The 26,240-nt window shown below is 34.0% G+C and overlaps 1 long non-coding RNA gene across 1 annotated transcript in view; it reads left to right on the forward strand.

Moving 5' to 3' along the window:
• Positions 1–26,240, forward strand: part of LINC01194 (long intergenic non-protein coding RNA 1194) — a 230,327-nt gene that overhangs the window by 2,586 nt on the left and 201,501 nt on the right. Inside the window, exon 2 of the long non-coding RNA NR_033383.1 lies at positions 18,255–18,336. This is a non-coding gene — a long non-coding RNA (long intergenic non-protein coding RNA 1194). The remainder of the gene's footprint in view (positions 1–18,254; positions 18,337–26,240) is intronic.

Here is a 26,240-nt window from a genome sequence, read left to right on the forward strand (position 1 = left end):
ACTTAAACTATAATTTAAAAAAAAAGAAATGTATGCAACTTCAAATAAAACAAGAACATTTAATTCTGAGTTCATGTAACGATGTTAATGCTCAATGTTTTCACATTTTAGTGAATAAAAATTTTCCTTCAAAACTGTAAAACAATTTAAATTTACATACACCTCTAACATTTGTGAGGCTCAGGGAATGAGTGTAAGTGAAGACATCTACACTATATGCCAAAAATTTAAGGTTATAAATCAAGCTAAGAAACAATTAAATAAAATATGCTTGTCCTCCTACCTTAACAAATGAGACTTCAGTGTTGAAATTGAAAAATGTATGTAAAGTTATCTGTGTATATTACTTCTAGACAACTATCAAAAATAATTGAATGTAAATATTAATGTCCATAGTTGTACTGATAGCCAAGAATGTGGTGAAGGATGTAATTTATAAGTCATTTTATATTTATAGTAAGCATAATTTTTCTTTGCCTTTCCACATAAGCAATAATTAGGTTATTAAATCTAGGCTGTTTTCACATGTTTTCTTCTATCTATATAGCACATATATAAGTGCTTAGATTACAATCGTATTAGAGGTGTACAATATTTTCCCAAAAAATATAAATGGAATGAAATATTTTTAAAAATATAAGAAACAATGTACGTTATTATAAAAGTCAATATTCTTATAAAATACCTAAATTAATATTAAAATGTAATAAAATAAAACTAATTTTAACCATTTTAACTAAATATCATTGAATACTTTTGTAAAATAAAACTACAATTTCACCCCCAAATGTCTCTCTAATTTTCAACATAAGTTATTAGCATCAAGCTTTATGCATTTTACATATAAAATTATATATACATAGATTTCAGAGAGTAATAAATTGTTGAAAAGTATGTATGTTCCTTACTCCAATTCTTACACATGATGCATTAATTTTTGAATAGTGCTACAACTAAAATTATAGTAATAAAGAGATTCAAGATACCCATGTTAGCATTTTTAGATGATACTACTTAAGGAAATATATATTTCATTGGTGCAATTTCAGTGGAAGGAAATGACAATTATTATTATTTTTTTCTTCCTTCCTAATTGCTTCTGCCACTAATAGCCTCCTCACACTTTGAATCAATATCCATCTCTAAAGTCTATCGGGGCACAAACCACACAAATTCACAGAATCTAGACGAGATCACAATTTTTTTTTTGTTTTGAAGACACAGGACTTCAAGGACATGTAGGAGGAGAAAAAAAAATACTGTGGGGCTGGGACAGTGTGAAACATGACTGTTTTTCCTTTCTTTCTTTCTTTTTTTTTTTGAGACAGAGTCTTGCTCTGTTGCCCAGGCTGGAGTGCAGTGGTGTGATCTTGGCTCACTGCAACCTCCGCCTCTCGGATTCAAGCGATACTCCTGCCTAAGCCTCCCAAGTAGCTGGGACTACAGGTGCGTGCCACCACACCTGGCTAATTTTTTGTTTTTTATATATTTAGTGGAGACGGGAGTTTCACCATGTTAGCCAGGATGATCTCGATCTTCTGACCTCGTGATCCGCCCACCTCAGCCTCCCGTAGTGCTGGGATTACAGGCGTGAGCCACGGCGCCTGGCCATGACATGTGTTTTTAGGGCTAAAGTCACTCTGCGTCAGTGTTGTATGTTAGACACCTAGTGAGAGACTATGCTTGATAAATGCATTTTTTTGAGTTTGTGATATATTGAACCCTTGAAATCATGAAACCCAAGGCAGAGGTACCTCTTGCATAGGTTTAAGTAAGTATTAATTACACGCATGTTATTGAGCAAACGTTGAACGGAGGGACACTGGATTTTTACTCAGGTTTCTATAGGTGATTAAGATTCACTAACAAGGTAAACAAAGTATAAAGATATATTAGAAATTTTCTTAGTGTCTTCAAAACTAGCTTTAATGGGATAAGAACTCACTCCAGAAAACATAGCATTGGCAAGTCAAGTTTCAAAAATATGACACTAAAAACATTCAAGCTGAGATCCAAATAAGAAATGCAATCTCATTTACAATAACCACAACTAGAATAAAATACCTAAGAATACAACTAACCAACGGGGTGAAATGTCTCTATGAGGAGAATTACACACAGCACAACTGAAGGAAATAACAGGTGACACAAATAAATTGAAAAACATACCATGCTTATGGATTGGAAGAATCAACGTCATTAAAATGGCCATATTGCCCAAAGCATTTTAAAGATTCAGTGCTATTCCTATGAAACTACCAATGCCATTTTTTACAGAATTAGAGAAACAATTCTAAAATTCACAAAGAATTGAATACCCCAAAATGAAAACATGAGTACAAGGAAATTTTCTGTGTGGAACAGTGGCATCACCAGCAGTAGGAATTTGAGACCCATCTCAATCTTGGTCATGAAATCAACCAGAACATGCCAATATCAAGGGAAATGTTCTATTCTTAGAAATGTTTCCACTGACCTGTTTGCAAATATCTTCTTTTTTTTCACAAATATGTTTATTGCAGCATTATATATATGTAATAGTATAAAAATGAAAAAGTATAAATATGTATCCTATATGGGTGACATAATATTTTCCTCTACAGATTTCCATACAGAGGTTGCAAACCAAAAAATGTAACTTGTATAATAAAATTTTTAATCTTTGGAAGTACCTAGATGTTCCCTTGGAAGATTCCATGCCCATCTGACAAATAATTAAACAGTTTAATTTTTATCAATTGTTTAAATTTTTATTTTATTTATACTTGCAACACTATTTGAGGATGGTGGCAATAGCAGTAGAAGTAACAGCTCTGTTTTCAATTCTAAGTGGCTTTATTCTACATTGTTTTCTAAAACATTCTTTCATCTACTAAATCATGAACATATTCTCATGTAAATACACACATACAAACACCGTTTCCTCCTACATATTAATATCCCTTTTCACTCTCTATTCTATCATGTATTTGTGTGTGTGTGTCTGTGTGTGTTGGTATGGGTGTAATTTTCAGTATCCAAATGTTTTACATATGTATACCTTCTGATGTGTGCTTTTGATGGATTGGGGGTGTTAAGTTGTGTTTTTATTCTCTTTTTGGAGTCTTTCTGTTTTTAGAATGCCGGCTTTTTACTCCATATTCTTTTATTTGTTTTATTAGTAAATTAGTACATTTGTGCTGGTACCTAGTGAGAAGAATCTCTTGAATGCATTTAGTTTAATTTTATCTTTGGAATAACATGGATTTCCCTTTTGCAGCTTAATAAATAACTTGAATTATGAAGAATGTTCTTTTACACATACTAGATGCAACTACTGCTCCATGAGTGGTTTTACAGAAGCATTTCATTATGTCTGCAAACATCTTTACAATTATTGAGACACCATCTCCCAAAAAGCGCTCTTCTGCCTTTGAGTGTAAGAAGATTGGTAGTTTTGCACACTTTGCACCATATTTTTTATGTATATGCCTTTTGTTTGGGGGGGATGATACCATTTTTATGTGACTCTTAATTAGATACATTATATGTAGAAAATTGTGTGTATATTGCTGGCCACTTTGTGTTTCTGACAAACCATAGTAACTTGGAATTGAATCATGAAAGTTTTCAGAAGTCTCTAAGTTTTTAACCTGAAAAATCTGTATGTAATTCTCTCAACCATAAGCTTCCAAAAAATTTAGGTTGTGTTATCTTCTAAATTTATGAAAGCTTGTTCTTCAGTAACATTTTTGTCTATGTTATTATCCATTACTCTTTATTTTTCTCGTTTTAGTTTGTGAGTAGAACAGCCGTGACATTTATTTTCAATCCTAGTGTGAAATTCCTCGGGCCTCTCAATTAGTACTAACTAAAAATGTGTTTTACTTATCCTCTCAAAAGTTACAGTAATGGCTAAGAAGCTAAACCAACCCATGTTCTCCTTGGAGTTTGATGCTAAACCAGCAAAGCTGATATTTTCTTGAACCCCCCTTTTTTTGACACTATTGACTATTCAAGACCATTCCAGTGACCAAGATTTCTTGTTTGTTTTTAGATGACATTTTTATAGGTATGTTTAAAATGAGAATGTAAAATGTGTAGATGGAAGATTCTCTCTTCCTCTCGTTGATTAGCCTTCACTTTCTTGTAAATATTCTTTTTCTCAAAAGCCTGTGGGAAATCACAGGAGATATTTTTTATTGCACATGTCACATGTGCATGGTTTAACTCACAAATGTTTGAGGCATATTATGACAGCAAAGTTATATGGCAGAGGACAAGCAAGTATATACAAAAATTGAGAAAGTAAGGATTTTTAACATGCCACATTGTGAAAATTTACGTATAGGAGGCTAGCGATGACCAGTGATACACTCCAATAGGTAGATTTCAAATTTATGAGACTATTTTGAACACATTGTTCCAAGGTTGTTCATAAGTACAGCACATTTGTTCTTCTGGAAGGTAAATCTTTTGTTATTTAATTCATGGATTAGAAAAATTGTTTGAAAATTCTATTACTTTTTAAAATTAAAAAATCAATCATAATTTTATATTCCAATCCTATCTGAAATTGAGTTAGATCATTTCTGTATTGGTTGCTTTTTATGCATCTATTTTTTAAAGTATTTTGGAGGCAATGACCTTAACAACAGATTCTAGATTACTTTGCCATTGTTTTCCAATTCTCAAATCCTAATCAGTCAATTGAGAGCAGGAGTCATACTTCATCTGCATTTGTAACTTGAACATATAACAAAATGGCCTATAAATATAGAATAGGTAAAAAGCAAGTAAGACAAGCAATACTTTTGCTTAATTAGAAATGTTTTTTAAAAACTTTAAGATATCCTGGAATGGTTCAAATACTGATTCACTAATATATTGCAATCTAGAAAGATAAAACTCCTAGTGTGTTTATTCTGTTTCAGTTACTAAGACACATGGTAAAGAAATTAGTTTTAGTAAATTATCTTTTACAGGGGATATTAAGATTGTGTGATTATAGAGTGTTTTTTTTAAGAAGTACCAAATATAACTAAACTTTAAATATTTAATCATATTTTGTTCAATATCAATGTAAAATTTATTTAAATCTTACATTAAAGTTAAAAGCCATGTTAAATAAAATATTATTTATGAAAAACAATTATAATATACTATGAAACATTTGCTTTTAATTCAGCTATGCTAATTATTTTTTCCATTTTAAAATAAATATAAATCATTGTCATCATAAAATAGTTTTCAGCCAGGTGTGGTGGCTCACACCTGTTATCCCAGCACTTTGGGAGGCAGAGGTGAACAGATGACTTGAGATCAGGAGTTGGAGATCAGTCTGGTTAACATGATGAAACCCCATCTCTACTAGCAATACAAATATTAGCCAGGTGCAGTAGCACACCTCTGTAGTCCCAGTTACTCGGGAGGCTGGGGTGGGAGGATCACTTGGGCCTGGGAGGCAGAGGTTGCAGTGAGCTAAGTAAGATTGCACCACTATACTCCAGCCTGGCTGACATAGGAGACATTGTCTAAAAAAAAAAAAATTTTTCTCTTAAAAGTTTTATATTATATATAATTAACATAACTATTTTTTATATTTATGGGATACAGTGTGATGTTTCTCTTTTTTTTCATTTTTACTTTTTGTGGGGACATAGTTGATGTATATATGTATGGGGCACATGAGATGTTTTTATATAGGCATGCAATGCACAATAATTACATTATGGAAAATGAGGTAACCATCCCATCAAGTATGTATCTTTTGTCTTACAAGTAACCCAATTATACTCTTCCAGTTATTTTTTAAATGTACAATTAAATGATTGTTGACTATAGTCACCCTGTTGTGCTATTAAATATACATTCTTTCTAACAATATTTTTTTGTAGCCATTAACCATCACCACCTTCCCACCACCCCACACACTACCTTTCCCAGATTCTGGTAACCATCGTTCTACTCTCTATATCCATGAGTTCAATTGTTTGGAATTTTAAATTTCACAAATAAGTAAGAACGTACTATTTCTGTCCTTCTGTGCCTGGCTTATTTTACTTAACATAATGACTTTTTGTCATATCCACACTGTTGCAAATGACAGGATCTCATTAATTTTATGGCTGAATAGTACTCCACCGTGTGTAAGTACCACATTTTCTTTATCCATTCATCTGCTGATGGACACTCAGGTTGCTTCCAAATCTTAGCTATTGTAAACAATGCTGCAACAAACATAGGAGTGAAGATATCCCTTCAACATATGGATTTTCTTTCTTTTGGCTTATATGCTGAGCAGTGGGATTGCTGGATCATATGATAGCTCTATTTTTATTGTTTTGAAGAACCTCCAGACTATTCTCCATAGTGATTATACTAATTTACATTCCCACCAGCAGTGTACAAGGGTTCCTTTTCTCCACATACTCACCAACATTTGTGTTATTACCTGTCTTTTGGATATAGGCCATTTTAACTGGGGTGAGATAATATCTCATTGTAGTTTTGATTTGCATTTTTCTGATGATCAGTGATGTTGATCACCTTTTCATATGCCTGTTTGCCATTTGTATGTCTTTTAATAAATGTCTATTCAAATATTTTGCTTATTTTTAAATCAGATTTTTAGATTTTTTTTCTACTCAGTTGTTTGAGCTCCTAATATGTTCTAGTTAAGAATCCTTTGTCAGATGAGTAGGTTGCAAATATTTTATACCATTCTGTGAGTTGTCTTTTTACTTTGTTAACTGCTTTGTTTGCTATGCAGAAGCTTTTGTACTTGATGTAATCTCACTTGTCCATTTTTGCTTTGGTTCCTGTACTTGTGGGGTATTACTCAGGGCATTTTTGTCCAGATTAATGTCCTAGAGATTTTCCCCAATGTTTTCTTCTTGCAGTTGTATAGTTTGAGGTCTTAGATTCATTTTGATTTGAGGGTTTTTTTATATTGCAAAAGATTCTGTAGGTATGCTGCATTATGGTTTATGCTTTTTTCTTTTGTCTACTCTGTGTATTTTCAAAAATAGCCTGTCTTCAATCTCACTAATTATTTCTTCTGCTTGGTCAATTCTGTTGTTAAAAGACTCTAATTCATTCTTTAGTATGTCTATTGTACTTTTTAGCTTGAGAATTTCTGCTTAATTCTTTTAAATTATTTCAATCTCTTTGTTAAATTTATCTAATAGAATTCTGAATTTTTTCTCTGTTTTACCTTGAATTCCTGTGAGTTTCCTCAAAACAGCTATTTTGAATTCTCTGCCTGAAAGGTCACATATCTCTGTCTCCAGGATTGATCCCTAGTGCCTTTTGTTTTTTTTTTTTTTGACAGAGTCTCGCTCTGTTGCCCAGGCTGGAGTGCAGTGGCGCAATCTTGGCTCACTGCAAGCTTCGCCTCCCAGGTTCACGCCATTCTCCTGCCTTAGTCTCCCGAGTAGCTGGGACTACAGGTGCCTGCCACCATGCCCGGCTAATTTTTTGTATTTTTAGTAGAGACAGGGTTTCGCCATGTAAGCCAGGAAGGTATCGATCTCCTGACCTCGTGATCTGCCCCCTCGGCCTCCCAAAGTGCTGGGATTATAGGCGTGAGTGACTGCGCCCGGCCCCTAGTGCCTTTTTTAGTTCATTTTGTGATATTATGCTTTCCTGGATTGTCTTGAGACTTGTAGATATTCCTATGTGTCTGGACATTGAAGAGTTAGATATTTATTGTAGACTTCGCAGTCTGGTTTTTTACCTGTCCTTCTTGGGAAGAATTTCCAGATATTCTTAAGAACTTGAGTGTTGTAGTCTAAGCTGTATCTTTTTTTATGGGGACCCCAAGTCCAGTAATTCTGTGGTTCTTGCAGACTCCTGGAATCTACCATCATGATAGTCTTTGATAAGATCAAGAAGAATTCTCTGTATTACCAGGCAGAGACTCTTGTTCTCTTCCCTTCCTTTCTCCCAAACAAACACAGTACCACTCTCTGTTCTGAGCTACCTGAAGCTAAGGGTCAAGTGACACAAGTGCCCCTGTGGCCACCACTATTAGGGCTGTGCTGTGTCAGACTCGATGCCAACACAGCACTGGGTGTCACTGAAGGCCTGCTGTAACCACTCCTTGGCTACCACCTATACTCACTCAAGGCCCTGGGCTTCTACAATCAGCAGGTGACAAAGACAGCTGGGCCCGTGTCCTTGCATTCAGGGTGGTGAGTTTCCCCAGAACCTGGGTAGATCCAGAGGTGCTTTTTGGGAGCCAGGAGATAGACTCAAAACCATAGAAGTCTGCTTTTTCAAAGGTACATGGTTGAGCTGGCACTCAAACCACAGGATGCAATCCTTCATACTCTTTATTCCCCTTTCCAAAGGCAGAGGAGCCTCACTTCATGGCCACTGCCACCACAGACCCACAGGGAGTACTGCCAGACTACTGGCAATGCTCCTGTAAGGCCCGTGGGCTCTTCAGTCATCCTGTGGTGAATGCTGCCTGCATGGTCTAGGACTCACTCTTTAGGGAAGTGGTCTCCTCTGTGGCCCAGGGCTGGATCAGAAATGCTGTCAAAGAGTGAAATCCTGGAACTGGGGACCCAATGAGCTTGCTTGGTGTTCTACACCTCTGTGGCTGAGCTGGTACCTGAGGTGCAAATCAAAGTCCCCTTCACTTTTCCTCCACTTTTCGCAAGCACAAAGAGTCTCACCCCATAGTCACTACAGCTGGGAATGTGCTGAGTCTCACCTGAAGTCAGAAAGTCTCAGAGTCTCACTCAAGGCCTTCAACATAGTATCTGGTTATCACCATTCTTCACACAATTAGAAAAAAGCTATTTAAAAATTCATGTGGAACCGAAAAAGGGCCCAAATAGCCCAGGCAGTCTTAAGCAAAAAGAATAAACCTGGGGGCATTATGCTACCAAAGTTCAAACCATACCACATGGCTACAGTAACCAAAACAGCATGGCAATGTTATGAAAACATGCACATAGACTAATGAAACGGAATAAAGAACCCAGAAATAAGACCACCCACCTACATCTGAACTTCAACAAATCTGACAAAAACAATCAATGGGGAAAGAATTCCCTATTCAATAAATGGTGCTGTGATAACTGGTTAGCCACATGCAGAATATTAATACTGGACCCATTATCTTCTTATACTACTCCAAGAAATTATATGAATTAATTTAAAAAATCTCTATGTCATCATTTTTCATAAATATTATTTATTAGGATTATTTTCCCCTGTTGGAGGATTGTGATAGCATTAATACAATTCAATTGTTTGTGATGGATATCTGCATTTTATCTTAATGGCATACCTTATCATAATTTTAATGACATACTTTGTTTTTTAAATTTAATTTGTGTCAATTTTTCATCATTACACATTATGAATGTGCTTATGTTTTTAATCTCTTTTTTCCTCAACTTAATTTCTAAACAAAATCAATTTAGTAAACATAAAACAAATTTATAAAACATTTGAATATAAGCAAAAATGAAAATAACATCACAATTGCTCATTGAAAAAGATTTGTTTAATCTAGAAATAAAAATGATGTGCTAACATTTTTGGGAATATCTATGTCATTATTATCAATGTCTGTATCTTACAGCATCTTGTTTGTACATCTATGTATTAAAGAGCCCAATAATGCCTATATATGTATTAAGTAATCATATTTATGCATATGACAATAATTTGTTTTATGCAAACACACACAAACATATACACACTCAAATAAAATACAACATAAACCACCCTTCAAAATGACAACAACCTGGTTTTCAGTTTGTTTTCAATAATCTTTGAAGAGAAAATATATTGCGATATATCCATGCTTAGTAACTTTTATTTTGAAACCTTTTATTGATAGCTTTTTAGGACATTTTAGAGAACCTGGGGAAGATTTCTTTTCAGTACTTCGGAATCACTCAATAAAAATTAATCAACTGTGATTAAATGATAATGCCATTCTGAGCTTAGTGACTGCAAAATAGATGTGTAATTAATGAGGACAAACTTCTAATAGACATCACAAAGGTAAGCAGCTATAGAAAAAGTCTAGACACCAGGATATTTTAGATTTCCTTCTACCCTCAGTCCTGACACTCAACTTTTTATCCCAATTTCTCTACTCCCCCTTATTTTTTACTCTCTTCTTCCCTTCCCTGTTAGTTTTTTGTCAGTCTCATCCAGCTCAACACCCTTGCTAAATTTTTGAAAAGTCTATTTCAGCTCTTTATTGCCTACATCCCCAACTTAGGATTTCTTCTAATCATGATTTAGATCTCCATTAATCCCCATTTATCTTGATTTCCAATGGGCAGAGAATTTTACCTTTAAATTATTGAGTGTAAACAAATAAATTATATTACTGAGAGATGTTTGGTTGGAGATACATCTGGAATTTTTTTTTCTGAATGTATAAAAGAGAAGAATAGTTTAGAATTATAAACAGAGTTAAGAGTAATTTATTCAATTGAAACAATACTGATACATCAACTTTTATTTACTTTCTGCTGTTATATTTCCAGCTATACATGTTACAAATATAACATACAATTCCTCCCCAGAGTGCTAATAGGGAAATAATATATACATATACAAAGGCAGCTAATAATATTATTGGATTATCCAAATATGTATCAAATTGACTTGTGACTTTAAATGCTATAAAAGTTTAGAATAGGGTAAGAGACTACTATACATTTTTTTCCTTTTCAATCACAGTTAAATTGGAACATATTTTAGATTATCATAATACCACCTAGAGAGGCATAATAAAAATTATTTCAAGCTCTCAGGTTTGATAAATAATTTGTATTTCATCTTCCACAGTTTCTCAGAAACTCTGTCAAATAGTGTTTGAAAATCTTGAAATGTCCTATAATCCTAGTACTTTGGGAGGCCAAGGCAGGAGGATCGCTGGGCTCAGGAGTTCAAGACTAACCTGGGCAACATAGCAAGATCCTGTGTCTACTAAAAATTAAAAAATTTAGTCACACATGATGGTGCACACCTGTTGCCTCACTTACTTGGGAGGCTGAAGTTGGAAGATCGCTTGAGCCCATGAGGTCAAGGCTGCAGTGAGTTCATGTTGTTGAGCTTATTATTAGCCTGCATATACACTCCCATGGCAGCATTTTTCATGAAATTCTTGTGCAAGCGCCATGGTAGCTCAAAACAGAATGGTTCACTATCTTTGGTATAAGTCATCCTGTCCACTGTGAGTCAATGCTTCTCCTGCAGTAGATGCTCTTTGGTGAAAATTAACATGTGTTATAAAGATTCTTATATATTTTGCCAACTCTCATGTGCCCACTCATTCACCATAGCCAAAATTTCCTTTAGATTAAGATCCCTTGGCATTTTTTTCTGGCCTCTCTTCCCATTGTTCCAAATCCTGGGATTAAGTTACTCCATTTACCAGCTGCTATTCTGGATTTCTACGATCTCCATTGTCACTAGGATCTATAATAACATCCCCTACATGAGCTGCAGATAGCTGTCACCTGAAGAGGATAGTTAGGCACTAGTGAGCATGTCTATGCTACCATTGCCTTTTTGGTAACATATTTCTTACTATATTAATTCTATGAATGTCTTCTGGATCCTTTCAAGAAACAGAAGCATCTGTTGCCTTCTCCATTATTGTACACTTAATTTGTTTGAGCATGCTGAATTTTTTATTCTTTCTTCAGAATCCTGCAAAGACATTTTGGTATTTCCAACTTGTTTAATATGGGACATAATTTTTCCCAAGGTTCCAACAGCCAGCCCAGTGGCATGTTAGTATTGCTCCCACTGGTAACACATTTTATCATGGCTAAAGGAAATTTCCCAACGTCAAAGAGCTCTCCATTACTTAACATTAAATTTTACCTCTTGGTCTATTGCCCTCAAGGTCTCCTCTCAAGTATGCTCTCTCAGTTCCCGTAGGTATGCATCTATGAGGTCCTGAAGCTCCCTTGGAGAATAATTCCCTTCTTAGTGTGGTCAGAACATTCCTGATTACTACTTGTTCTAATTAACTAACCCTAGATATTGGTATTAGCTGAGAGCTAAGGTAGGGAAAGTCTTGAGGAGGGCAAATACAGTCTTGTAAGTCATCTGCCCCGGTTGATGCCTCCAAGAAAAGCTTCTTGGTAGTCCAGCTATAATTCTCTAACAAAGGAAGGAGCTCACTCCTATTTGCCCAAATTTTTCAGGAAAATGTGATGTGTTCATTGCTATAGGTTTGACAAAATACAGAGATCCACATCCCAATTTCAGTGTCATACTCTTGTAAAGAAGACTGGCTAAAGATAAAAGTCCACATTTACCTGAAGCTCTTCTACTCATAGAATTAGCTATGATAGGTATGAGGTCTGGTTTTCAACATGATTGCAAACCTGGCTAGTGGAGATGATTGTCTCTTTAAATGTTAATGTGGAAGCCTACTGACTTTTCCAACATGCCTTATAATGGATTATGCTGGCAATATCTTTTTTATGTTTTAATGGAGCTCAGTAACTATTAGCCCATTTCATAGACCTTATAGTGTCAATTTGCCTGTTTTCTCCAGGCCATATCCACTGCAGAAGCCAGTGCATCTCCTTCCCCTCTACTGCACCCTGATTCCCTCAGGCAATCTGTTGGTAATCAGTATGCTACGGTATGCCAGGGGCTTCCAACTATCTATTTATCAACAGCCCCCGTTTATTTGTTGCCATGTTACTGGCAAGCAATATACCTCAGAATCTCATCCTTTTTTTGTTTTCGTTTTTTTTTGAGACGGAGTTTCGCTCTCGTTGCCCAGGCTGGAGTGCAATGGCGCGATCTCGGCTCACCGCAACCTCCGCCCCGTGGGTTCGAGCAATTCTCCTGCCTCAGCCTCTCAAGTAGCTGGGATTACAGTCATGCACCACCACGCCCAGCTCATTTTGTATTTTTTTTAGTAGAGTCGGGCTTTCTCCATGTCGATCAGGCTAGTCCCGAACTCCCGACCTCAGGTGATCCGCCCACCTTGGCCTCACAAAGTGCTGGGATTACAGGCGTGAGCCACCACGCCCGGCAGAATCTCAATCTTAATTCTTACAAGATATGAGTTGTCTAATGAGACACCTGCAAAAGAGTTATAAATTAAAAATTCATGTTCAGGAGATTAATTAACTGCTCCCAGGAGATACTGGTAAAGTCCTGAGGAAGGGAGGCCAGGGGAGGAGTGGAAGCCGAGCAAGGATGAAAGTTCAGGCAAACACCCACAGAAGCTTCAGCTCGACTACATGAAGGAAGTCTGGCATCAAAATTACATTCAGAATTATAATGACACAAGGCATTCTCTAATGTGCAATGTTCATAAAATTATATGCCTCCTTAAATATAAATATTACTATTTATTTTATATTACATGCAATTTGATATTTTAAATTGCATGACAATATGAGTCTTTTCATAAATGACACAATCTAATAGTATTCAATAATTATATTTTAAAATATATTAAGCATTTTTCACATTGTGCTTATTTTTTCTTTTAAAATAAAATCATTTTTTACAACACCTCTTTGCTTTGAGGATTTCTTTATTGTTCTTTTTAAGGTGCAACAATTTATTATTAGAAGAGTGATACATTTATAGAAAATGGGTCTATTTAATCCAAGGATCACTAGTTCCCCTTTAAATATCACATTATATGCACATGGACAGAGCTAAAGAAAGATGGAATAAACAATGTTAGAGTTAACTTGTAGTTACATTTCATTCAAAATGCATTATTTCTGAATGTATGGATTTCCCTTCTTTTCACGTCTCTAACACTTCCTTACTTTTATAAGATGTTTTCAAAACAGCCTCAGAAAAATAAGAGACAGTTGTACAAAGATTTTTTTAAAAAAAAAAAAACCCTCAATTTATGTTATTGTGCATTGAGACTAAATGAAGTGATATTTCAAGGACCAATTACTCGCCTTAATAACAACCAAGTTTTATTTACTGTTAAAGCAAAACAAAACACAAAAACACTTAGCTCATATACTTCATGGCTACTATGATAAAAGACAATAAGGCATATGGTTCCATCTAAATCTGGAAGTTGTATACTTTCCATAGAAACTTATATAAAATAATGCAATAAATTAATAAGGAAAGTAACCTATTAGTAATTTGGAAAATAAGTAAAATTTGGGATTTATTATTATTATTATTTTGAGATGGAGTCTTGCTCAGTTGCCCAGACTGGAATGCAGTGGCACAGTCTCAGTTCATTGCAACCTTAACCTCCCAGTTTCAAGTGATTCGCCTGCCTCAGCCTCCTGAGTAGCTGGGATTACAGGTGCCCACCACCACACCTGTCTCATTTTTGTATTTTTAGTAGAGACAGGGTTTCACTATATTGGCCAGGCTGGTCTCTAATTCCTGACCTCGTGATCCGCCCTCCTCAGCCTCTCCTCAAAATTTGGGAATTTGTCTGAGCAAGTAGTACTTTAGAATTGTTTTTTTTCTCATCTAATGGGTTTCTAGTTTATGAAATTCAATTCAACCTTAAATGTCAAATATTTAAATTCTTACTTGTTATATTACATAATGTATGCATCTTGATATTGTTTGTACACTAGAGACTATGCAGGCAAACTTCATTAATTTGTAGATGAGGAAATTTAAGCACAAATAATTTAAGTGACAATCATTTGTGATAATTATAAACAATGCCTAAGACAAAAGCCAATTGAATGTTAGCCCCGTGATATCTTCTTGCTGCTTCACAGTCACACTAGAGCAGCAGGAAGCTCTGTAGCTTGTACCTCTGATTTGTTAAAGTTATAAAATGTTAGAAAATGTGTTGTTGCACAATAAGTAAGACAGATCTCCTAAGAAAATTTACTCTGGCTACTAAAATATGAACTATGATCTTGCTTCACGAGAACGCTTCTGACAGAATTCTTGAAAGTATTGCTCTCCTGAAGACAAGTGCTTTAGAAACACATAATTGTCCCCTTCATGAAAGTCAAAACCTTCCCTTCTATGAACCAACATACGTCTCTCTCTATCTCTTTTTCAAGAGAGTGAGTCACTGTATGAAAACTTAATCTATACAAGATTCTTACAAACTGGAGTATTTTTAACCTAACTAAAATTCAGTTTTACTTTCATGGTCAGCCTTTCCAGAGAGCAACATGTATATAAAAACTGAACTCACAATTAGAATGGGCAACTATTATATGGTTAATAGTCTAAAAAGGAAAAGTATTAGAAAAGTTTTTTTTTCTTTTTATTTAGAGGAGACAGCAAAATATTTCTTACATAATCCTTCAGAGACAATGAAAAGTAAACCAAGAACTCTTAAATACTAAAGAGATACAAAAAAAATTAATTCCTCTGGGCAATATATCACATGTAGTAGATTGTAACACAAAAATCAATGAGACATAAATGAATGTAAATTCCCCATGAGATTTAGAATATTACGTCAAAATGCATGTATAGATCATCATCCACATGTTACAGAAGCACCAGCACCCTAATTTGTCTTTCAAAATATCATAACAAAATTATAAGTCAACATGTACTACATTTTAGATGCTTAAATATTTCAAGACAAAATTAACATTTAATACATATAACAAATGTTAGCAATTTTTAACCAGGTAGACAATGATAAGGTCATATATCAAATTTAATGTAATGGAAAGTCCATTTTATAAAGAATGAAATTTGCAAGTGTACAGAAAAATTATTCTCTTTTTGACCATTTTAGTTGATAAAAAGGCACTAGAATATAATTTTCTAGGAATACAGTAGAAAGTAAGATGAGGTTTCATTATCTAAAAACCATAGAGGCTATGACAAGCAGTTTAACAAAATCAATAATTGAGATTTTTGTTGAAATACATTAGAGACTTAGAAAAAGGAAAATGTAAGATATATATGTATAATCATAATGTATTCACTTTCTTCACTTAGAAATTCAATATTTTGCAAAGAATAATATATGCTCTCAACTTCAATTACATTTATTTTGTAATGTCTCAGTACAATATTATATATCTTAAATGTACTATGGCTTTCAAAATATAGCAAAAGGGATATAAGTTTAATGAGTTAGGAAAATGAGCTATAAAAAAGTGATGACTAAATAGAAGAATTTACAAGGATTGTAACTATGAGTGAGAAGGCTTACACAATAAGATCCATCAATTACTTCTTCCAGGAAAACTAAGCTTTAATTATGGAATGGCAGAATACATCTTCATTTAAACTTATTTCTCACATCAGTGTTTGGTTGGGAGAATGTTTCTGCATGGATTTTTGTGGCTTCTTTATTCCTAAACTAGAAACTAGTGTAAGCGCGTGTGTTTTTGTGTGTGTGTGTTTTAATCAAGATTATTTGAAGAAAAGAATAGTATTACATCTAAGGAGAAAACTATGTCAAGGAGAGGAAAATTATTAACAAAAACATTGGACACAGAAGAAAAAACAAAAGAGGAAAGCCATGTGTCAAAATTTCACAAGAGCCTATTACAAAATATAAAGAGACTCAGAGTTTCAAGATTATATGATAATTTTCAAAACTCCATTAAAGACATAGGAAAATCTATTTTCTACAGATGGAGTCAACTTACTCTTTAAATGAAGTAAACATGGAATAGCAATTTCTGAAGGCAGGTCATAGCAACTTGAGAATGAAATTATGTGAACTATTACAAATAATTAATTACATACATTTTATTTCTTTTTGTTAAATTGTATGAGATTTACAGGTTATATGAAACAACTAGCTCTATCAAATTGATATAAACAAAAGTTATTCATGTAAAAACAGTTCAATGATTTTAGCTTTTAATGTTTAATAATTTTTAACTTTGTAAAGGAAACATTTACATTAGAATTTTAAATAGGATTCAAATTATGTGACCACTAGTAATTGCTTTATTTCTCAGATGATCTAAAATTAATTGAGGGGGGTAAGCCCATACAATGTATATGGATATGAGGTAAAACATTTTGTATTAGTTACCAATCTAAAAAACATTGCCAAATGCTAACAAACTTTTGCAGTTTAGAATCCACAAATATAAAATCTGAATAATAATTCTAAATACTTGGGTAACATTGGGAGCTCTTTATTATTCAAATAAAATAAAAACTCTTTAGAGTGAATATTGAATGAGTTCATTTTTGTAAAATTGGAGTATTCCCAATGTATTAGTTTTCACATTGCTATAAAGAACTACCTGAGACTGGATAATTTATGAAGAAAAGAGGTTTAATTGACTCACAGTTCTGCAGGATTAGCAGGAAGCATGACTGGAAGACTTCAGGAAACTGACAAGGCAGAAGGTGAAGGGGAAGCAAGGCCCCTTCTTCACATGGTGGCAGGAGAGAGACAGAGAGCAAGTGGGGAAGTGCCACAAACTTTTAAACCATCAGATCTCCTGAGAACTCTATCACAAGAACAGCAAGGGGGAAGTTTACCCTCATGATTCAGTCACCTCCCATCACGACCCTCCTCTAATTTTACATGAGATTTGGGTGGGTACTGAAATCTAAACCATATCACCCAACATGCAGTAAGTGTTTTGATAATTCTTTTGCTACTGTTATAATACTGGGATATGAGAAAAGACATGTACATCATGAATTCCTTGACTTGTGTACAGTGTCCCTAGTTTAATAATCCTGGGAACTGGTAAGTAAAGCAAATTCAACTGGTCTCTTTGCTCAAGCTTCCTTCAGATATCCATATTTAATTGTTAATATCCACTGTAAATCTTTGAATGGTATATGTTATACATGTGCAATGCTTATTTCAATCTAGCTATACTTTCTTTAAACATCCAAAAGCCTTTTGATATAGGCACAACTTACCTTCCACATTGCACACAGAGTAAATTCTTAACTATCCAAATGCTGGTTATTAGTCTCAGCAATGGCTTTAAAAGCTTTGAAACAAATGATTAGTTAAGAACTCTATGTTCATTATTTTAGCAAAGGTAAAAATAATCTAAGTCATAGCCCTGATGTAATCTCTGTTATTCTTAACCAGTGTAAAGTAGTAGTTATATATACTTTGTTATTTTAATTTGAAAGACAATGATTTATGATAGCCTCTTCAGTTTGTGGGATCTCAGTTTACTTCAAATCTAAACCAAGATTGAACCAAATAGCAAATGGATTTTCATAAATAATGAGAGATTTAAAAGGTGTGATCTAGCAATGGATACAGAAAATAGAGTAATCTAGATGTTGTTCCTGTTCTTTTTTTATTTTTTATTTTGTTAAAGACAGCGTCTTGCTCTGTCCCCCAGGCTGGAGTGCAATGTTGTTATCATAGCTCACTGCAACCTGGAACCCCTAGTCTCAAGAGATCCTCCAGCCTCAGCCTCCCTGGTAAGTAGAACTACAAGCAAGTGCCACCATACCTAATTTTTCTATTTTTTTGTAAAGATGGAGTCTTGCTATGTTGTCTAGGCTAGCCTGTAAATCCTGGCCTTAAGGGATCCTCCTGCCTAGGCCTCCCAAAGTGCTGAGATTACAGGCATGCCACCATGCCAGGCCTGTTCTTGTCCTTAAGTAGGTCCACTGTAAGTGATTCTGGGCAGACATTTATCTCACTATAGCTGTCAGCTTTAGAAAAAGTCACTTAGGTAACTTTGGGCTGTGAAAAATTATATAATCAGTTCAGGAACCCCTTTGGTTTTCTATCTTGATTTATTTGTCCATAGCACTTGGATTAGAATTGGGTACTTAAATCAATTCAAGAAAAATATTAAGAAAGCCATTATCTCATTATACAACAAATTAAGCCAGGATTGTTGGCATGTGCCTACAGTCCCAGCTACTCAGGATGCTGAAGTGGGAAGACTGTTTGAGCCCAGGAGTTCAAGGCTGTCGTGCTCATGATCATGCCTGTGAATAGTCATTGCACTCTAGCCTGGGCAGCATAGTGAGACTCTGCCTCTAAAAATATAATAATAATAATAACATAAATTACTTCTATAAAAATATATGATAAAATGTGAATATTGAATTATGTTTTATATCAGGGATGTGTAGGGTTCATTTGCTGTATCTTCTTCACTTTCAAAACCAATCTCCTATCTTTATAATACAATAATATATCTTTATGTTAAATACAATTGGATATTTTTCTAATAAAGGATTAAGCAAATTAACAGTAGGAACTTTAAAAAAAAGTTAATTCTATGTGTGACTCATTTTCATCAATACCTGTCTGTAATTCAAAATTATTTTAAAAACAACACAATATTGTGTTGATTATATTAATAATTGAGCATTCAATTGAGATGTTCCATATTACTTGTTCCTAAATTGCCAAAATCTAATCAGGAAAATGCAAACAATTTGCTTTGTGTTCTGTTTGTAGATGTTCGTTGTTTACTGGAAATATTTGGAATGTGGGACAATTCTTATTCTACCTTCCTTGATATTTCTTCCCCACTCATTTCTTGTGATTCTATTTTCAATAATCATCTTTCTAACATATATAAGTCTATAACAGTAAGTTTTAGAGAAATGTAGTAACTATATTGCATCATATGAAGAGAGTCTGTATTCTTTTTATTATTTATTTAGGAACCTCTAGCCCAGAGTGTAATCGATATTAAATTTTTTGGTGAGTGTATAAGTGAGAGCATTAATCAATGAAACATATAATTTTTTATCTAATGGAATCACCTAGTGCTTTTTTGTTATTCATTTACATTTCTAGTTAAAGCCAGTTTATGTGTACATCTTTATACTAAATACCATCAATTTTTTTTCTGTCATTACACAATCAGCATATAAATTGTATGAGGATTAAAAAGTATTTGATTGACTAAAAATGCAATCATATTTAATTGTGACTTCCCTCAAAAGGAGTATGGGTACCTCACAAAACTATGTATCAACCCATAATATTCTGTTAGTAAAACCACTTATTTTAAAAAAGAAGTGCTTTGTCGTCAAAAACACTGAAGGCTTTCAACGACAATGAAAAACCATAGATTGTTTACACTTTTTGTCTTAAAGAACAAAGTATGAGAAGCCTTTTACATTTTGTTTCTTTTAATACTTGTTTTGAATGAGCAGATGAAGTAATCAAAATTATAGAGCAGCTCTACCCTGCTACGCTGCTAAGCTGCTATGCTAGCTCTACGCTAGCCCCTATTACTACAAGTAACAGCTAGACAGACAATGTAATAAATTCTGTTGTCTTACTGTCCTTATACAGACCTGACCTGAGAAAATATCACTCTAGTTTCACACACATGTTTCATCTTTTTCTATGTTTGAGAATTGCTCTCACTTTGATAAGATTCATGGCCATGAATTGGGACTATAGTTGGAACCCCCACAGTGTCAAGTGATCTTTTTATTTCTCCCTTGCAAGAGTTCTATATGCCCAAAGTTTTCACTTTAAAACTTCACTAACTTATCTCCAAAGAATAAAATCTTGCTTTTCACTTGATATAAATGGCTCTACCACTCAGATCACATATAAAAGGAATAAAAAGTTTTGTGCTATCTGTTTGTCTCTATTGTGATACCATATTGGTTTGCATGGAGGTCATGAAACTCTCTGTGACCAGAAGAATTCTCAGGTTGAGTGTGGAAGTGTGGGCAAAGAGAGGTTTTGCCCTCAAATCCACAACTTTGGCGTCTAGTCCACCTGTGTTCTCCAGGTCAGCTTCACCACTGAGATCTGTACTTTGCAAGGCACAGGACTTCTCTTAATATAACTGAATCCTTGATTCCCATTTCATATGCTACTTCTGTTATCCGTGGTTGGAACTTTTAGGAAGAGAAAGGTATGATTATTAGACACCCTATCTATAAGTGACCATGTCCCTTTTATTAAATGCAATAAGGGCCCAAAGTTAACATCATCTTGTTAAATTAACAAAAACATTCCAATAAATAAAGATTGTGAATCCCTTTTATTGCTGTCAAATGTATAAATATTTATTACTTTAAATGGAATATAAATGACACTAGACATTGACTATCATTCAGAAAGGTTTCCTTGTGTTTTTGTTTGTTATTTTTACCTTTCCTTTAAGGTTTTCTAGCTCACAGTTGGGAGGGGGAAACATATTACTTGTGAGACTGCTTGAGGCACATTAAAGCATTAAGCAGCCATTGGGCAATCGAGTCTTAGAAAGCTCCCTTGTGAACAAATGTGTATAAAAAGGGGACAAAGAATTCTGAATGATTTCATGCTGAAAAACATACAGAGTATAAGAAAATAACTTATAAATCTGGGGTTTTCTACGACTTATGACTTTTTCTCAGAAAAGAGATAACTCATCTGGAATTATTTCTGATTTAATTACTTGGACAAAAACAAGGTACATTTTGTTTCCCATTTTAAGGGTTCATTAGGGTCCTACCTTGCAAACCCCATGCAGACAGAGAGCACCCTCTTCTGTCACTTAATTTTAGAGCCAGTATACATTTTTCTCTGATACCAATTTAACAGGATTTTGAAAAGTTCTTGGTTATGAGGCATCATGACTAAAAGTACTTAACTGACAAAATGGCCCTGAATGAAAACCATGGAGTCCTCAGGAGAGTAGGGCTGTTTTGGGAAGGTGTTTTTATCATCTTAGAGATTCCGTTTGATGTTCAAAATGGCTTGTAAATACCACCATGGGGTAAGTGACTGTAAGTTTCTGCGTATAAAAAAGCCCATTCGTGACAACTACTGCTTCTACATTAAATATATCACTGGCTGTCGTATGAACTGTGTCCTCACTGCAGCAAATACAGTAGATTCTGCTTCTAGTGTCAGGAAATTAGAACTCTGAGCATTGATGGTCATGCATTTTTATCTTGGATCTATCCATAATACACTGGAAACTGATTTTCTCATAACATTGAATCTACTTATGTAGGATCCATCAGTGACTTTTTTTCTCATTTGAGAATTTGCACTTTTGAAATAATATCTGGTTATAAGTACTATGATGTGAATTTATCCAGGGAAATTCTAAAACTAGATTTAGAGTATTTGCACATTGGATCCCCTGTTTTTTTTCTGATTTAATAAGAATTCTACTTTAGAATACATGAAAATATGTGTGTGTGTATATATGTATATATGTAAATATGTATATATCTCCGTGTGTATATATATGCATGTGTAAACATGTGTATGAGTATACACATGTATATACTTATAAGCATACGCATATATACTTATACATATTTACACATGCATATATATTTACATGTTTCTATATGTGTAAATATGTATATAAGTATACATATATACTTACATATACATACACACATATACTTATATACATATTTACATATATATGTTTACATATTTGTGTATATATGTAAATACGTATATAATTATACATACATATTATATATACATACACATATACACACACATATATATTTACACACATATATATACACACGCAGATTCTCCCAATAAACTACTAAGGATATTTTGTATTTATCTGTGTATTCATTTATCTGGCATTTCCCTAAAATGGGCTTACTGGATGATAATAAAATGACACAGAATTTCAAGTATACATTTTAAAATATATGCACAATACAGCATAATAGAGTTAATTCTTCTTGAATTGAAAGTTTCAATGATTGCTTCTCAGACTACAAATATTTCTTATATTTCTTACTTTTCATACTTCTGCATTCTCTTGCTTCTCTTCTCATTCATTTACTTTTTTATTTGAATCATTCTTTTTTTTACAATACTCTTTTCCTGACCCAAAATATATTATAGAAAATATGTAGGACTGAACTCAGGTCTACTATTTGTACCCTGTTATTCAAAAATCTCATTTACTCCCATGGCTTTGTCCTATCACTTTACATTTTTCTATCTACATGTGGCCTTTCTCCTGAGTTCCATTAGTTCAGACTGCTTGCATGTAGGATGTCTTCATGTTGGATACCCTTCAATCAACTTGAATCCATCTTTGCTCCAAAAGCCATGATTTCTCTGGACTTTTCAATTTTAATTTTTTTTTTTTTTGAGACAGGGTCTCACTCTATCACCCAGGCTGGAGTGCAGTGGCATGATCATGGCTTACTGCAGCCTTGACCTCCCACACTCTAGCGATCTTCCCACCTTAGCCTCCTAAGTAGCTGGGACTACAGGCATGCACCACCACTCAATTTTCATTTTTGAAAGGGTAATTTTCCCATATCCCAAGTTTAAATTTTTATGGCTACCTTTGTCTCCCTCCTAGCTCTCATTTTTCTACCTACTCACATTTCTACTTACTAAGTTCTTTTTATTCCCTCTGAAACTAGTTCAATGCAGGCCCTTAGGACTTGGCACCAGGAATTTCTATTATTCTTCTAAAGCCCTCTCTGCCTCTTTCTTTATTTCTGCAAAGAAATTTCAAAAACACATTACTGGAACTTTACTCTACACGTTTCGTTTCCTAAGTTCTCACTACCAAAGCTTTCAAGAACAACTTCCTTCTTGAAGGTCCCGCATCCTGCTGTGCTTAGAACAGATTAGTTCAATACTTACACTGTTATACTTCTGCCAGGCTTCCAGGTCCCTCAGGCACCTGTGTGACTGAATCCCTGGCTCATCTGAAAGTTGACCAGAGTACTTTATAATAGGTTAAATGCCCATGTTAGCATGTTTTTTCCTCTTATGGAGTCATGCTTAATTTTGGAAATTCGTTGGTCACTAAAAAAAAAAATAGTAATATTTATTGTATTTTAGTCTATCATTAAATGTTGTTTGTTTTATTAGGACTTTTCTGATACCTAACACATATTCCCATAGTACATTTCCTAATACTTCTCATTCTCATTCAAATTATCTGTTTAGCCCTGGTCTGGACTTTCTGTAGAGGTCAGCGGGATCCATGTGACCTTTGCAATATATGTGATTAGGTAATTGATTTTTTTTAAACAAATACTCGTGCTTAGTACAATGCTCTGTATTAGGAATAGAAAAATTCATAAATACAGAATTGGTGCTTTCTCCATATTTTCAAACTCTTTTTTGGCATTATATATTTCTTATCTTACCATAAGATATTCTTATTCTCTTCTCTATTTATTTTACAATAAAATTTCTTCTCATTTTATTCTTTCTTTAACTACTGATTTATAAATTAGATTTTCTCTAATTTAATGCATTTGTTTACTCATACATCAGTGACCGCTGAGTACAGTATCACAGTATCATATTCTAACATTAAGCTTGATTGATATCACTATCTCAGATTGTTTTTACAAGCATTACTCATTTTACCTTGAATACAATCTTGGAGGTAAATGACATAATACTATTATAACCATTTTACATATGGATAAAATGAATAGCACAGTTTCAAAGCAAACTGATGATTTGACACACATGGCTGGTATTCTTATCACTCACATTCTGATTTCTTCTGTGTGTATATGTGTGTAATGACTTGCTCATTGGTATAAAATGTTAACTCTTATTATGATGATTTTTCCTGTAGTTTGATCAAACAAACTCTTTTTGTCCCCCAGAGAATAAAAACAAGTCAATAACCACACAAAGATTTTCGTTCTCAAGGGCAGCATATTTCATTTGCATGATTCAGAAAATGTTTAGTCTTGGCAGGATTTTCTTAACATCTTGAACATGAGATATGTGAATAAAATTTTCTGATATTGTTTTAAAAGTACACATTTTAAAATTGGTGCTGAGTTGAGATGAAAATTGAATGCATTGTGAATTACCCAAAAATAATAATAACTTTGGTTAAAGATACAATGTCTAACACTTTGCCTAATTGAAATTTAATTCATCTTTAAATCAATCACTAATTAGCCTTTATGTTGCCTAGAAAATAAAAAGTGTTTAAAAAAATATTTTCTTCCTGCTAAGGTGTAGTATTTCTTAAAGAATGTGTGGTATTTCTCAAAACACTCAACTCACTGAATTTTATTTGTACTCTACATAGAAAAACAAAATTGAACACTAGTCTGTATAGAAAGGTGTTGCAGACACCCATTCCTGATGTGGATATACAACATCAACTGTTTTTCTTCCACCTCTGAGTGATCATTTTATCCAGTTCTAGACAATAAGATAGATGTGGAAATCTGCTGTGTTTTCTCCAATTTTTCATCTTTTTCTGCCTCGTATATAGACATGTTTAAAGCCATTGGAGCTATGAATTAACAAGCATGTGGGAAAAAACAAATAAATTGCTCTGCATCCATCCTGCTACCACCTCTCACCATGTATTTACATAAAATAAGTTCTTATTTAAGTTGCTATTAACTGCTTTTTAAAAAATGTATGCAACAATAAGCATTTATAGCAGATATTGAAGGGTACCACTATATACAGAAAAAATGTTGTTGTACATCAAAAATATGGATTCAACAAGGAATATTATTATAATGAATAATCTAAAAATAAGATTGATGCCTAATTTTAGATATATACTTACATTTTGTATCAAATGAAATTGCAATGTAAAGTAAGATGTACGTTTTCAGTGGCATGAGTTTGAAGTATTTTTGTTTAACTTTTGAATATTTTTTCTTTTTTTTAATTATACTTCAAGTTTTAGGGTACATGTGCACAACGTGCAGGTTTGTTACATATATATACATGTGCCATGTTGGTGTGCTGCACCCATTAGCTCGTCATTTAACATTAGGTATATCTCCTAATGCTAGGAAAGCTCAGAAAATAACTCAGTATCTCTATAAGTTTTAACTTAAAATATTATAGAAGTGGGACAAAATCCTGGTAAACTATCTCTAGGTAATGTAGTAACATATGGCTAGCTATTTAATTGGGTCTAAACTTTATATAAAATTACAGTCTTTGCAGAAAGTTTTGGTATAAATTACATAAAGGCATCACCTCTGATTTGCTCCAATTGGTTTTATATGGTGTCTTGACAGCAAAGAGAAATTATCCATGATTGATAGAAACTGGGAGATAAAGCATCTACTTGAAACATTAGAAAGAACGAATATAATCAGTGTGGCAGAGGAAAAGCTGAAAGGGAGAAATGTTTCTCAGTGACTTTATTTTCAATGTTAAAAAATGCATGCCACTGTAATCCCAGCACTTTGGAAGGTCGAGGCGGGCGGATCACGAGGTCAACAGATTGAGATCATCCTGGCTAACCTGGTGAAATGCGGTCTCTACTAAAAATACAAAAAATTAGCTGGGCGTGGTGGCGGATGCCTGTAGTCCCAGCTACTTGGGAGGCTGAGGCAGGAGAATGGCGTGAACCTGGGAGGCAGAGCTTGCAGTGAGCAGAGATGGCACCACTGCACTCCAG

The sequence above is a fragment of the Homo sapiens genome, chromosome 5 (assembly GCF_000001405.40).
Source record: "Homo sapiens chromosome 5, GRCh38.p14 Primary Assembly".
NCBI classification, from domain to species: Eukaryota; Metazoa; Chordata; class Mammalia; order Primates; family Hominidae; genus Homo; species Homo sapiens.